The 13794-nt window shown below is 46.1% G+C and overlaps 1 protein-coding gene across 1 annotated transcript; it reads left to right on the forward strand.

Annotated features, from left to right (window-relative positions):
- The first annotated feature begins 7568 nt into the window (after nt 1-7568).
- On the forward strand, nt 7569-13191 carry C20orf202 (chromosome 20 open reading frame 202). The gene is made up of 2 exons (NM_001394958.1): nt 7569-7766; nt 10984-13191. The coding sequence occupies exons 1-2, from the start codon at nt 7701-7703 to the stop codon at nt 11215-11217; spliced, it is 300 nt and encodes a 99-aa protein (NP_001381887.1). The 5' UTR covers nt 7569-7700; the 3' UTR covers nt 11218-13191.
- Nucleotides 13192-13794: the final 603 nt, after the last annotated feature.

Consider the following 13794-nt stretch of genomic DNA (forward strand, 5'->3'; position numbering starts at 1 on the left):
GTAGGAAGCCGTAGGCACGCATGGAGAAGGTGAGTGTTGAGGGAATATGAGTGGGGCCCACAGCGTTTGCTAGAAGACACAGAGTACAGGGCACGTGTGTTCAGGACCCAAAAGGACACAGTACAGGGCACAGGCAGAAGACAAATGATTGGATTACTGGCCTTGCTTGTCTAGGCTAAAGGAAGAGCCTGCTGAAAGGAGGTAAGGAGCTGCAGAGAGATGGTAATGGGCCCCCTGAGCCAACTGGTGCTCTGTCCCCATGCCCCCTCTGGTTAGAGTGACTGCATGTGCTTGTGTGGTAGGAAAGGCAGGTTGAAGGGTTCGGGAGCTCTAACAGTGCAGACACTTCTCTCTTCTAGACCTCCACCTCATCTGTATTTTACAAAGGGGATGAGGGCTCAGGTGCCCAGAATAGGAGGGGAGGCAGCCCAAAAGGATGGGAAGAGCCCTGGACTAGGAGTTGGACACAAAGGCAGAGCTAAATGTCATCTCCGAGCCCACTTGCCCCATCTGAGGAATGGGAATAGCTCCACCCTCGTGTCTCAGGGCAGATTACCTACCACACTTGCATCTTGTTTTCCCTGTCTGCATAGTGAGGGTCACAGAACTCCTCTCTCTCCTATGGACTTCACAGAGAGCTATTGTAAGGAGCAGATATGGTCATGAAAAAGAAAACACTTGAAAGAGGGTAAAACACTTAAATACACAGGTGGGGGGATTATGGAAAAGGCTTGGAAGGGGAAATTAGGGGACTTGGCTTCTGCTCTAGCTCTGCTGCTATATTGTTAAAAAAGACACTCAAAATAATTGTGCTTTCAATAAAACAGAACTTATTTCTCTCTCATGGAAAAATCTACTTGGCAGCTCAGGCTGACATGCTGGTTCACCAACCACAAGAGACCCGGGCTCCTTCTGCATTGTTGCTCGGCCATCTTGCACCTTGCTGTTCCAGCTCCAGCCCTTGTCACTACATTGCATCAGCAGAAGGAGGATGTGGGGAAGTAGGAGGCACCTTCTTCCTTCTTCTTAAGGGAAGACATTGAACCTTAACCTAGAAATTGAACTCATCACTTCCATTTGTATCCTATTGACCAGGATTTAATCACATGGCACACTTACCTGCAAATGAGTCTGAAAAATGCAGTCTTTTGCCATATGTGAAAGGGAGAAGGGATATTGAGGGACAGCCAGCAATTTTTGTCATAGCCACTGACTAGCCTCATTTATGTATTTTATAATTTTATACTTATATAAAATTTTATATATATGTTTATTTCTTTTGAGACTGTTGCCCAGTGTGAGGTGCAGTGGCTTGATCTTGGCTCACTGCAACCTCCGCTTCCTGGGTTCAAGCAATTCTCCTGCCTCAGCCTTCTGAGTAGCTGGAATTACAGGCACGCACCACTATACCTGGCTATTTTTTGTGTTTTTAGTAGAGGTGGGGTTTCACCATATAGCCCAGGCTGGTCTCGAACTCCTGGGCTCAAGCAATCCACCTGCCTCAGTCTCCCAAAGTGCTGGGATTACAGGTGTAAGCCACCATGCCTGGCCAAATTGTATACACTTTTATATAAAATTATATTTATATAAAATACATGAGCCTGCTTCCCATATATGTATATTATATATATTTATATGTGTAAAATTTATATATATAAAATACACGAGCCCACTTGCCACATATATATATATGCACCAGGCTTGTGGTATAAAGTAAGATTTTGAACCAGCTGATTGCGAATGGACCCTCTTACTTGCGGGCCACAAGCCCTGAGAGGTCAAGCGTGAGGTCTTTCTCGCTCACCACTGTGTTCAAAGCATGCATTGCAGAGTCTGGCCCAGGGAATCCATAGTAGTATTGGCTGCCCATGGGTGAAGAATGGCTGGCCATTCTGGCTTTCGTATTTGCTAGTGACATTTTTCCCCACTCAGGGGTTTAAGTTCTTTCCCTTTGCATGCCTCCTGTCCCCACCTCCCGTCATCGTCATGTGCCAAGCCTTTCTGAGCCCATGAAGTAAAATGTGCTCTGAGCCAGAATCCTAAGAGTTGGATTAAAAATAAATGAAAATGCATCAAAACAAGTTAACCACAAGAAATGGCTTTCCAGGGTAATTAGGTGTCAGCGCTGGAAGCCAAAGACAGAGCGCCAGACTCTAACTGCCAAGTTCCGCTCCTGTCAGCACCACTGCTGTACAGGGCAGAGAACACCCTAGGCCTAGACTGAGCCCCTGCTTGAGTCTCCACCAGTTCAAGACAACAGGCAAGACCCTCCCCACGAAGGTGAGGGAGGATGGGTCCTAATCTAGGTCCGTCACTTATTGGCTGAAGTGATCCTAGGGAAATCCACGCCTCTCTGAGCCTCAGTTTTCACATCCGTAATAAGTTGTGAATAATAGGATCTATGTGTAATCGTCTACAAAATGCAGATAATGATGGTACCAACCTCGTAGGCAGAGGTCCCCAAACTTTATCAATTCATGACACCCTTAGCATCTTAGTAATTTTTCACAGTGCACCAGGCCCCCTAGAAGGTGTAGCAGTTGTTTATTAGGCAGTTAGCTTCAAACGACATAATAATAGTTGTTGGCATAATATCTGACAGACGTCATTGCGTTTCCCTCAAAATTTTAGGTATGTTTCAGTGCCTCTGTGAGTTTTCTATAGTGCCTCAGGGTGCCTCAGTGCACAGTTTTGGAATTGCAGTCATCGGGTTTTAAAGATGAAATGAGGTTATGCATGTCAAGGACTTAGTGTGGTGCCTGGTCTGGAGGAGGAGATCAATAATGCTGGTTGTTCTAAATCATCCTTCAAGTCTTATCCTGAGATCACTTTCTCTCTAGTTCTTTGTGTGTCTCCTCCGACTGCCACAGTGACATCTGTCTGATACCGAGCCAACAATACTTCCGGCCTCCTGCTCTTGCCACCTCATGGTCTCCACTTGCCACCTTCCCTCTGGGCACCTCCAGGCCTGTGGCCCCACTTCCACGCAGTGCTGTCTTCCGGCACAGAATTGTGAGTCTCACTTCATCATCCCTCCATAAGTCCACACACTTGCCAGGATCTCTTTGTAGCGGAGCATACATCCTTGCCCCTTAGCTTTGGGCTTGGCCATGTGACTAACTTTGCCCAATGGCACATGGCAAAAGCAACAGTGTGACAGTTCTGAGCTAAGCCTCAAGAGGCTTCCCATGGTTCCACTTGCTCTCTTCTCCTTTGCCAAGAGAATGTGCCCCAGCAGCCCTGTGATTCCAGGAGAAGGACAGGAGATCTGTGGAGCAGACTCAGAGCTGCAGATCTGCAAACATGAGCAATAATAAATGATTGTTGTTTGAAAGTATGGAGTTTTAGAGACATTTGGTACACAGTGTTCTAGTGGTAATCCAACCTCCCAATCTGTGGCAAATTCAACATGTCTGAGGGAAGATCTGATTGGATCCTCTGGTCACCACCCAAAATGCAGCTGCTCAAAAACCAGTCACCCATGAGCCAATGATCACTCTCCTGTCCAGTCTGTAGATGGCTGCTTTGGGCTGGGGCACTCATCTCGGCTCCAGGCAGTTGTCCCATGATTACAGGGCATGTGACAAAGCCTGGTGGCCTGTTTGAAGGAATCATCTCTGGCCCCTTGTGTTCAGAAGGGGTATAAATGTGGCAGAAAGGAGTTTCTCTGATTCTCTTGGGTTCTGAAAAGTAACAGCTGAACTACGAGAAATAGCACATAAGACTTTGTCTGCATGTGGCAGTCAGAACGATTCTCAAGCTGTAAACGCCAGGATATAAGAAATGTGACATTCCTTACAACTCGATTTAGTAACTATTTTGAGCCTCATTATGCCTAAGAGGGAAAAGACGAGGCCCAAGTTCACACAGACAGTTTGGCAGAGCTGGAGTTAGAACCCAGATATCCTGGCTCCTTATTACAATATCCCTTTTCCTGCCTCGTCAGTCTTATACTTGGAAGGAACTCCAGGTCCCATCTCCAAGCCAGTAGAGCCCCTACTCCAGTCTCTTTGATCATCTGGGCTATGCTTCTGCCCTCCATTGACTGAGCACCCACTGCTTGGAAAAATTCTAAACAACACCTTCCTCCTACTGAATCCCAGTCTGCTTCCCTTTGTCCTATACCCACTGTATAGGACAAAGGTAGTGATGTACAGCTACCGCTGTAGTGATGCAGGTGAACCCTAAAATTGGGGCTCAGTCAGGGGAGGTTCTTGGCTTCATAAAGGAAAGAATTCAAGAGTGAGCCAACAAAGTAAAGTGAAAGCAAAGCAAGTTTATTAGAGCAACAGAGTACAGGAAATGACTGCTCCATAGACAGAGCAGGGCTACCCCATCAGCACAGTAGCCTTTGTGGATTGCTGGCTGACTATATTAATAGCTACTTTTTATTATATGCTAAATAAAGGGTAGATTATTCACAAATTTTCAAGAAAAGAGGTGGGGTATTCCCCAGACTGGGGGTTCCTCCCCTTTTAAACCATGTAAGGTAAGTTTCAGGCATTGTCATGGCATTTGTAAACTGTCGTGGTACCGGTGGGAGTGTCTTTTAGCATCCTAATGAATTATAATTAACATTCCGTGAGGAATGAGGGCAACTAGAGGTTGCTTTCATTGCCATCTCGATCTTAGTTGGTTTTGGCTGCCTACTTCATGGCATCCTGTTTGAACAGATCCTGTTTTGATCAGTGGAGTTGTGACTGGGATTGTAACCAGTGCTCGGAGAACAAGTCTTGCTGATCTCCTACCTCACTAGCTCTGTCTTCTGGTGCTACAATAAATATACACTCTTTTCTCTTTAACTTATAAACACTTACTGTAATTTTAAGTTCTATAAATTCTATTGCATTCTTTTTCAAATCTGCCTGTTAAAAAGTGTCTCTTTTGGCCGGGCACAGTGGCTCATGCCTGCAATCCCAGCACTTTGGGAGGCTGAGGCAGGTGGATCACTTGAGGTCAGGAGTTTGAGATCAGCCTGGCCAACATGGTGACACCCCATCTCTACTAAAAATACAAAAATTAATTGGATGTGGTGGTAGGTGCCTATAATTCCAGCTACTTGAGAGGCTGAGGCAGGAGAATTGCTTGAACCTGGGAGGCAGAGGCTGCAGTGAGCCGAGATTGCACCATTGCACTCCAGCCTGGGTGACAAGAGTGAAACTCCTTCTCAAAAAAAGAAAAAGAAAAAAGTGTCTCTTTTTTTGTATGATTTTGATTCCTTCTTGTATGCCTCTTCTTTTCAAAATACTTTTCTTTTGAGACAGGGTGGAGTGCAGTGGTGCAATCAAAGCTCACTACGGCCTCGACCTCTTGGGCTCAAGCAATCCTTCTGACTCAGCCTCCTGAGAAGCTGGTACTACAGGCACGTGCCACCACACCTGGCTAATTATTGTATTTTATTTTGTTTAGATAAGGGGTCTTGCTATGTTGCCCAGGCTGGTCTCAAACTCCTGGCCTCAAGTAGTCCTCCTGCATTGGCCTCTCAAAATGTTCGGATTACAGGTGTGAGCCACCATACCTGGCCTCAAAATACTTTTAATTATCTTCATCTGAAGTTCTTGGGGGAAGGGGGTGAATGGTGTCTGTTGACTCTCATTTATGGTGAATGGCTTCCTTGTGTGTTCTTATATGAGTTCATCTTCAGGGGAGCTCTATCTGAGGATATTTTGTGTAGCCAGATTGAGGGCAAGTTTCCCTAAACTCGGCTGAGTTTGCTTTGCCAGTCATTTCACATCTTTATCTGGGGTCACTATGCTAATTCTTGGTTTGGAGTTTCTAGTGCATGTGAATAGAATAAATTTATATATATACATTTGCAGTCTCAGTTCACTGCAACCTCCGCCTCCTGGGTTCAAGAAATTCTCCTGCTCCAGCCTCCTGAGTAGCTGGGATTACAGGCGCCCACAACCACACCCGGCTAATTTTTGTATTTTTAGTAGAGACGGGGTTTCACCATGTTTAGCCAGGCTGGTCTCGAACTCCTGGCCTCAGGTGATCCGCCCACCTCGGCCTCCCAAAGTGCTGGTATTACAGGCGTGAGCCATCACGCCTGCCCAATAAATTTATATTTTAAAAGACCTATGTGAGAATAGAGTCTACATATTTTCATCGTAGCATTAATTTGATTGTTTGTTTCCAATGACTACTAGGATGTCAGCTCCAGGAAAGCAGGGCCTTTGTTTCTCTGATTTTGGTTGATAACCCCAGTGTCTAGAGCAGAACTCGGCACACAGTAGACATTCAATAAGTGTTTAGCGAAAGAGAGAATTGAATACCTGCTTCACGGTGTGATGATGTCAGTGGCATTTGAACCAGAGTAACTCCATCTTGAATAGGGGCTGGGTAAAATGAGGATGAGACCCACTGGGCTGCATTCCCAGATGGTTAAGGCATTCTAAGTCACAGGATGAGATCAACACAAGATACAGGTCGTAAAGACCTTGCTGATAAAACAATTGCAGTAAAGAAAGTGGCTAAATCTCACCAAAACCAAGATGGCCACAAGAGTGACCTCTGGTCATCCTCACTGCTACACTCCCACCAGCGCCATGACAGGTTACAGATGCGATGACAACATCAGGAAGTTACCCTATATGGTCTAAAAAGGGGAGACATGAATAATCTACCCCTTGTTTAGCAGATCATCAAAAAATAACCATAAAAATGGGCAACCAGCAGCCCTCAAGGCTGCTTTATCTATGGAGTAGCCATTCTTTTATTCCTTTACTTTCCTAATAAACTTGCTTTCATTTTACTGTATGGACTCCCCCTGAATTCTTTATTGCATGAGATCCAAGAACCCTCCCTTGGGGTCTGGGTTGGGACCCCTTTCCTATAACAATGGGAAGAATAAATGGTGTGTCAGGACTGTGTTTGCCTGCAAGTAGCAGAGTGTTCCATTAGACATCGGGTCTGTTTTCTCATATAGATGCTGTTGCCGAGTCAGGGGTGCAATGATTTCTAATGGCTCTGTGATTTTCTTGGGCTTTGTCTTATGGTCGCAAGACAGTTACCATAGCTCCAGACATTACATCCACATTCAAGGCAGAAGGAAAAGGGAGAAAGTAGGAGTAAAAGGGAAGCAGCAGTGACATTTTCCCTTTTGTTAGGAAGGTAAAAGTTTTTCTGGAAGCCTAACAGCAAATTGCTGCTTTGATCTCATTTGCTGGAAATGGGTCACATGGGGATTCCAGAAACAAGGAAACTTGGAAAGTGAGCATTTCCTTTATCTGGACTCTATAGATAAGTAAATGAGGACAGGGACTTGGGACACCCGTGGAGGTATATGCCAAATGAGACATATACATAGTTTATATGTAAAGCACAAAGCAAACCCTTAGAAAAGAGTGCCTATTTTCATAATAACCATATTGTTGCCATTTAAAGCTTTGCATTCTCTGTGATCCTGTTGGCATCACATATTCTTGGCTTCTGGAACAGCAGGCTCCAAGGTACTCGGACCCATAATGGTCTCCCTCCCTTCCTCCTTGTTCTGTTCAGAGCACTAAAGCCCTTTAAAAAAAAAAAAAAAGCCAGATTACATTTTTCAATGTGAGCTACTTCCTGCTCTCATTAACTCCATCTTCAGTGATTTGGCCAGAACCTGCTGCCAGTCTGAAAGAGTTGGGGGAATGTACAAGTCAAAGATCCCTCGGGCCCAGAACCAGGTCAGTGTCAAGGTCACTCCTAAGAACACTGAGATGAAAATAGCAGAAGAGCCCAGCCCGAGTCTTGGGCAGACCTTGGAGTGGCTGAGAAAGGAGCTGGTAAGGTTTTGCATTGCTTTTCCTTGATGCCCCGACTACATATTTTCCAAAGATCTCTGGTTTTCCTTCCCGGGTCCCCCCTGGGGCAGAGGCTGCAGGCTACGGTATGGACCCTGCAGTCTCCCCTCTGGGACCTACCACACAATGCACAATTGTGATCTCAGGTTCAGGGATAAGTAGGTCGTGGCCTATATGGGAGGTGCTGGGTGTGGTGCTGGCCAGACTGGTTTTAGAATGACACTGAGTCCTCCGTGTGTGCTGAGTCCTCTGTGTGGCTCTAGCAGGGGATTTATCTCTTTGAGCCTCAGTTTCCTTATCACAAAATGGGAATAACAATAGTACCAATATCATATGGGGTATTGTAAGGATTCACTGAAGAGATGCTTGTAATCCTCTTAATGAATACTTGGCACCGTGGTGCTGGCTATTATAACCCTGACCCAGATGGACATGCGTACACCCAATGTCTTAGCCTGGGTCCCCTAGAAAGCAGAGGCTTGGACAAGGATTGAGAAACTAGCACTTTATTTGGAAGTACAAGCCAAGGGTGGTGATAGGGAGGAACATAGGGTGTGGCAGCAGAGGCCAATGCTATGCCAGGCAATTACGCCAGACATTGTATTACCAAGCAGCCTACGGCTTCAGAAGTTGCCTTAAGGAGGCCCAGTGGGTGTCTCAGCAGCTGAGATGCTCTGCAGGGGTTGAAGGAGGAACTGCACATTGGGGGAGAGAGAACGAGAGGAAATTCATCTGCCCAGCTCGTTCCTGTCTCTCATTTCCCATTGGCAAGGGCCTCCCCCATGGAGCACTAACTCTCCTGACCCGATGTTATGTTACTTGGTCCTGTGGTTGCTGCTCAGGAAGCCAGGCTTATGCCTTTCATTATGGTATTTTCTCCAAGTCCGAAAAAAGAGGGGTGCCCCCAAGTGTGTGGGGACACCAGCCAGGAGAGAGGAGGCAGCTCAGGGAACCTCAGAAGAGGTTTGTTTCTCAATATACACACCTCTCATCCTGGGGAGAGACAGACAGGATTGTCCAAAAATGACCTTTCTGGGTTGCCAGGCAACAGGCCAGCTGGGACCCAACCCTGTCATCACCCCAGAGGAAGGGCTGACCCAGTAGGGTTTCTCATGGGACCAGGGAATTCCAGCAGCAGGGACTGCAGCTTCCCACAGTCAGCAGGCATCCAGCACTGGGCAGCTGTCTTCCTTATGCTCCCTGAAACTGTGGGTGCCTGGATGCCTCATCACCACCTCCGTGCTGGGAACCCCACTGTGGTCTTGTAGGCGCATACCCAGAAATATGTGCAGGAGGAAAACCCTAAAATCGAGAAAACACAGAGTGAATGTTTTCTGAGGAATTAGGAAAAAATGGGCCCAGGACCACTCGCTCTGCAGCCTGAGTCGTCCCAGTGTTCTGAGGGAGGCCGACTACACCTTTGCTTCACGTCTTTCCTTTTTTTTTTTTTTTTTGAGATGAAGCCTCACTCTGTCGCCCAGGCTGGAGTGTAGTGGCACGATCTCGGCTCACTACAACCTCCGCCTCCTGGGTTCAAGTGATTCCCCTGCCTCGGCCTCCCTAGTAGCTGGGATTACAGGCGCATGCCACCACGGCTGGCTAATTTTTTTGTATTTTTAGTAGAGACCGGGTTTCACCATGTTGGCCAGGCTGGTCTTGAACTCCTGACCTCAGGCAATCTGCCCACCTCGGCCTCTCAAAGTGCTGGGATTACAGGTGGGAGCCACTGGGCCTGGCCTCACATCTCTCTTTCTAGCTACATATTCTCTTGGCAGTGTTACTCATGCTTGAGTAGAGGATGCAGACTTGGTCTTCTTACTTGTAATCAGCTTGTCACAAAAATGAAAACACTATTTTTAGTGGGGAAATAATGTTCATAAGTATCTCTTGCAAAGAGAGACAGAGAAAGAGAGAGGCTGAGAATCTGTATATCTAACCATGTGTTGCCCCGACCAGCTTTGGAAGGAAAAACAGAAGCATTTGCAGTGGCTGCCTCTGGAGAAGGACGCTTGAGTTGAGGGATAAAGTGAGGTGGGTGGGAGAGACTTTTAAATATATGTCCTTTTGTAGCTTTTAAATTTTCTATCATGTGTTAAGAATTACTTAGTCAAAAAATAGAATTTTAACATTTTTAAAGAGAAAGCGAACTTTGGGAGCTGAGTTGAGAGGATCGCGTGAGCCCAGGAGTCTGAGACCAGCCTGGGCAACATGGCAAGACATTGCCTCTACAAAAAATAGCCGGGCATGGTGGTGTGCACCTGGAGTCCCAGCTACTCGGGAGGCTGAGGTGGGAGGATCAGTTGAACCCAGGAGCTCGAGGCTGCAGTGAGCCGTTATTGCACCACTGCACTCCAGCCTGGGCAACACAGTGAGACCCCGCCTCAAAAATAAATAAATAAATAAATAAACAGAAAGAAAAAGAGAGAAAATGTATGGGAAAAAATTCTCAGGAAAAAATGGGAGAAAGAATGGAGATGGCTGAAGATGACAGGAGAGTTCTAATGCAGCAGTTCTCAAACTTTTGGGTCTTAGGAACCCTTTATGCCCCAAAAAATTATTAAGGCCACCAAAAAGCTTTTGTTTACGTGAGTTATATATAACAATACTGACTGAATTAGAAGCCAAAGCTGAGACATTTTTAATATATTTACTAATGCATTCTAAAATAATAACAAATTCATAATATGTTAATAAAACATTACTTATTCAAAATAACTATATTTTTCAAAGCAAATATTTAGTGGGAAGAGTAGCCCCATTTTACATTGTTGCAAATTGCTTTAATGTCTGTCTTAATAGAACACAGCTGGATTCTCATAGCTGCTTCCTGCATTCAGTCTGTTGAGACATTACATGTCATTAGCTTCTGGAAAACTCCATGGTATGCTCATAAGAAAATGAAAGCAAAAAAAGGAAAATAACGTCTTACTATTGTAACCAAAGTAGTTTTGACCTCGCTGACCCCTTGAAAGGATTTTCCCATGGGCAAATTCATTCAGTCCTCATGAAAGCCTTGAAAAGTAAGCAATTTGCTTTCTGCTTTGCAGAGCAAGAAACTGAGGCATTGGTGGATACGGCTTCTGTGAGGCTGTGCGAATCACAAGTGGGCTGGTCTCCGATGAGACAGCGAGGGAAGGGGCTTGATGGGGAAACATCCAGGGCTCCACGCATCCCCTCACAGGCTCCTTCTCTCTCCTAGTCTGAGATGCAGATTCAAGATCAGAGTCTCCTGCTCACACTGAGGCATCTTCACAGTGTCCTGGAGGAGCTGCGTGCGGACAGCGCCCACTGGGAGGACGCCAGGTCCAGCGGAGGGACATCCCCCATCAGAGCTCGAGCGGGCTCCGAAGGCAGGGGCTGCCAGCCGGTTTGCTCAAGGGGTCTGGCCCAGCTCCTCCGAGGGGAAGACAGCAGACGAAGCTCTCTCCCTTAACTGGACGGAGATGACACTGGGCTTTAACACTCTCCCCATTAGTCTAACCTTTCACTGTGATATTTCAGGGGCAGAGTGTTGGAATGGGAGTCAGAAAGCCAGGGCTCTGGGTTCATTTCTGCCCTCATCTGCTGTGCATCCCTGGATCTGTCACTCAGCTTCTCTGTGTCTCTGGTTCCTTTTCTGTCACTTGGGATTTCTTGGTGAGGCACACATAAGGTATTGGATGTGAACACACTTTTCGACTGAAAACACAAATGTGCTCTAGTGCTCTGGCAAGCACCATGGCAGTAACCCTATCCTTGGGAATTTTTCACAAGGCAATTGTTAAAACAAAGAACTAGATGTGCAGTAATGGTTACCAAGTGTTGCTATGGTGAAAATTCCAACCCCTGTGTAGTGACTTAGTGGCTGTTTTCTGTCTTCCCAGGAAGCCTTCCCATTCCCCTTCATCTGATAACATATTAGGCCCTGTAACCACCCTGGCCATAGGCATGGGTATATTACCAGGCCTGGCCAATGATATAATTCATGGTTGCCCTAAAAAGATGATTGGCCCAATGGATGGTCATGTGAACCAACAGAGCCAGTCACCGACCTTCCCTGAGATTGCTACCTGGAAGCTCTTTCTATTACACTCAGGCTGAGGCTGCTGGTGGCCATGTTCCTACCAGGTAAAGAAGACCTGTCTGCAGTAGGAAGGAAAGAGGCTAATCTCCAAAGAGAAGTAGAGAGAGGGCCACACAACAGATGGACAGAGAGGAAGAGCGCTGGCTCTTTTTGGTCCCTGGTTTTAGGTCCTAGTTTTGTGAGTTACTCCTGCATTCTTTCCAGGGACCGAAGCCAGTCAATTTCACCCCCCAACACAGCCACACACATCAATTTGTTTTTGGTTAAGCTGATTTGAGCAGTTTCCCTCATTTGCAGCTAGAATGGTCTTGAGGAATATGATCCAGATGTTCAAAGAATCAAAGAGGAGAAATCAATATGAAAATGGCATTTCATTCAATGAGGGTTTGTGACAACAACCTCCGTAACAGCAGGCAACCAGGCTTGTGATACAGCAGAGACACTCAGTTGTGTGGGGTGCTGCAGTCATAACTGAAAAATTGTATCTGCCTATAAGAAAGACTAAAACAGAAAAGGTGAAAATAAAAAAGTCATGGTGTTAAGATGGTCTGATGATCGGTAGCCCTTTTTGTTTTTGAAAATCTACCTGTATGTTGCTAGAACATTGTTTTTATGGCTTTGAAAAAGTAAATCGATTGCATGTAGAGGCAGAGTGGAGGGGGTGCATTATAAGTATAATGTTTGTAGTCAGATCAACCTGTGATTTTTGTATTTGGTAATATAAATGATACCTGCTCTGTGATGCTGGAGCTGGGTCCCTGCAAAGCACCTTTTGGTGTTACCAGCTGCTCCCTGTTAGAGTTTGTTAGGCTTTGCCAATATACAGCATGGAGTTAGACTACAAGTCTAGAGGAGAGAAAAGGGGCTTGCTCCTTCTTCTTGTTTCCCTGTGGGCTTCCTGTTCCTATGAGCATCTCCCAGCAATGTTTCTTCACAACAGGCAGCAATTCCTTCATGAAGCACCAGACTTCTCCAGGATCCAGGTTCCAGACTCCTGGGGCCCCTTCCAGGAGCTCAGAGACATCAGCTTCAGATGCCAGTCCCTCCTCCCCTGAAGTGTGGGTCCCTGCCTTACCTACCTGGCCCTTTCCTGAGCTCAGAGACACCAGCCCCAGCTGAGCTGAGTTCCTTTCTCAGATAGCTGAATTTAAACTCCAGGGAATTCCTCCTGTAAGTTTTAAAGTTTGATAGTTTCTGCCTCTTTTCTTTGTTCCCTCAGCCCTGGAGATGGCAGATGCTTGCTGCAATTCCTACCTTAAAGTTCTTTTTATAACCTTTCAGTCACCCAGTTAACAACTTTATACCTAGTTAGCAATTCTTTATATTAAATTTTCTGTGTTAAAATAACTGGTGTGGTTTCTGTCTCCTACCTGTCCCAGACTGACACAGCTTTTTGCTATTATTACCAATTGCCACTGTAACCATTCTTGGTTACACTGGAAAGGCTAATGAATGGCACCTTATTATTGCTGCATGATTATGTTCTGATTTGTGAAACTATGACTATTACAAATGGACAAGCTGATTAGCCACTATTATCTTGAGAGACATCTGCCTGGCCATGCAAAGTAGAAATGACATTGCTCTCCCATGCCCGATGCTAATCACTAGCACCCTCTGCCTCTCCCTGATTTCCACATTTGGGCCCAAAGACCAAAAACCCCTGCCAACCCCTCCATCTCCAATCTGGGAAGATAGACCTAGAGCTCCAGAACCTGCCCTTCTGGTGGGATATTTGTTGTTCTCCAAGACCCTACATTTGGAACCAACGTTCACTTCCTGATCCTAGGTCAGAGAAAGCCAAAGCTGAGCCCAGATGCTGGACAAGGAGTTGGGATGGAAATTACATCTTCAGCGTTGGTCCTAGAGGTCTGGGTGGGAAATCATGGCCATGCAGGACAGTGAGCACCAGAGGGAGCATGTGGATCATGGTCTCAGGAAAACCCA

The sequence above is a fragment of the Homo sapiens genome, chromosome 20, assembly GCF_000001405.40.
Source record: "Homo sapiens chromosome 20, GRCh38.p14 Primary Assembly".
Lineage (NCBI taxonomy): Eukaryota > Metazoa > Chordata > Mammalia > Primates > Hominidae > Homo > Homo sapiens.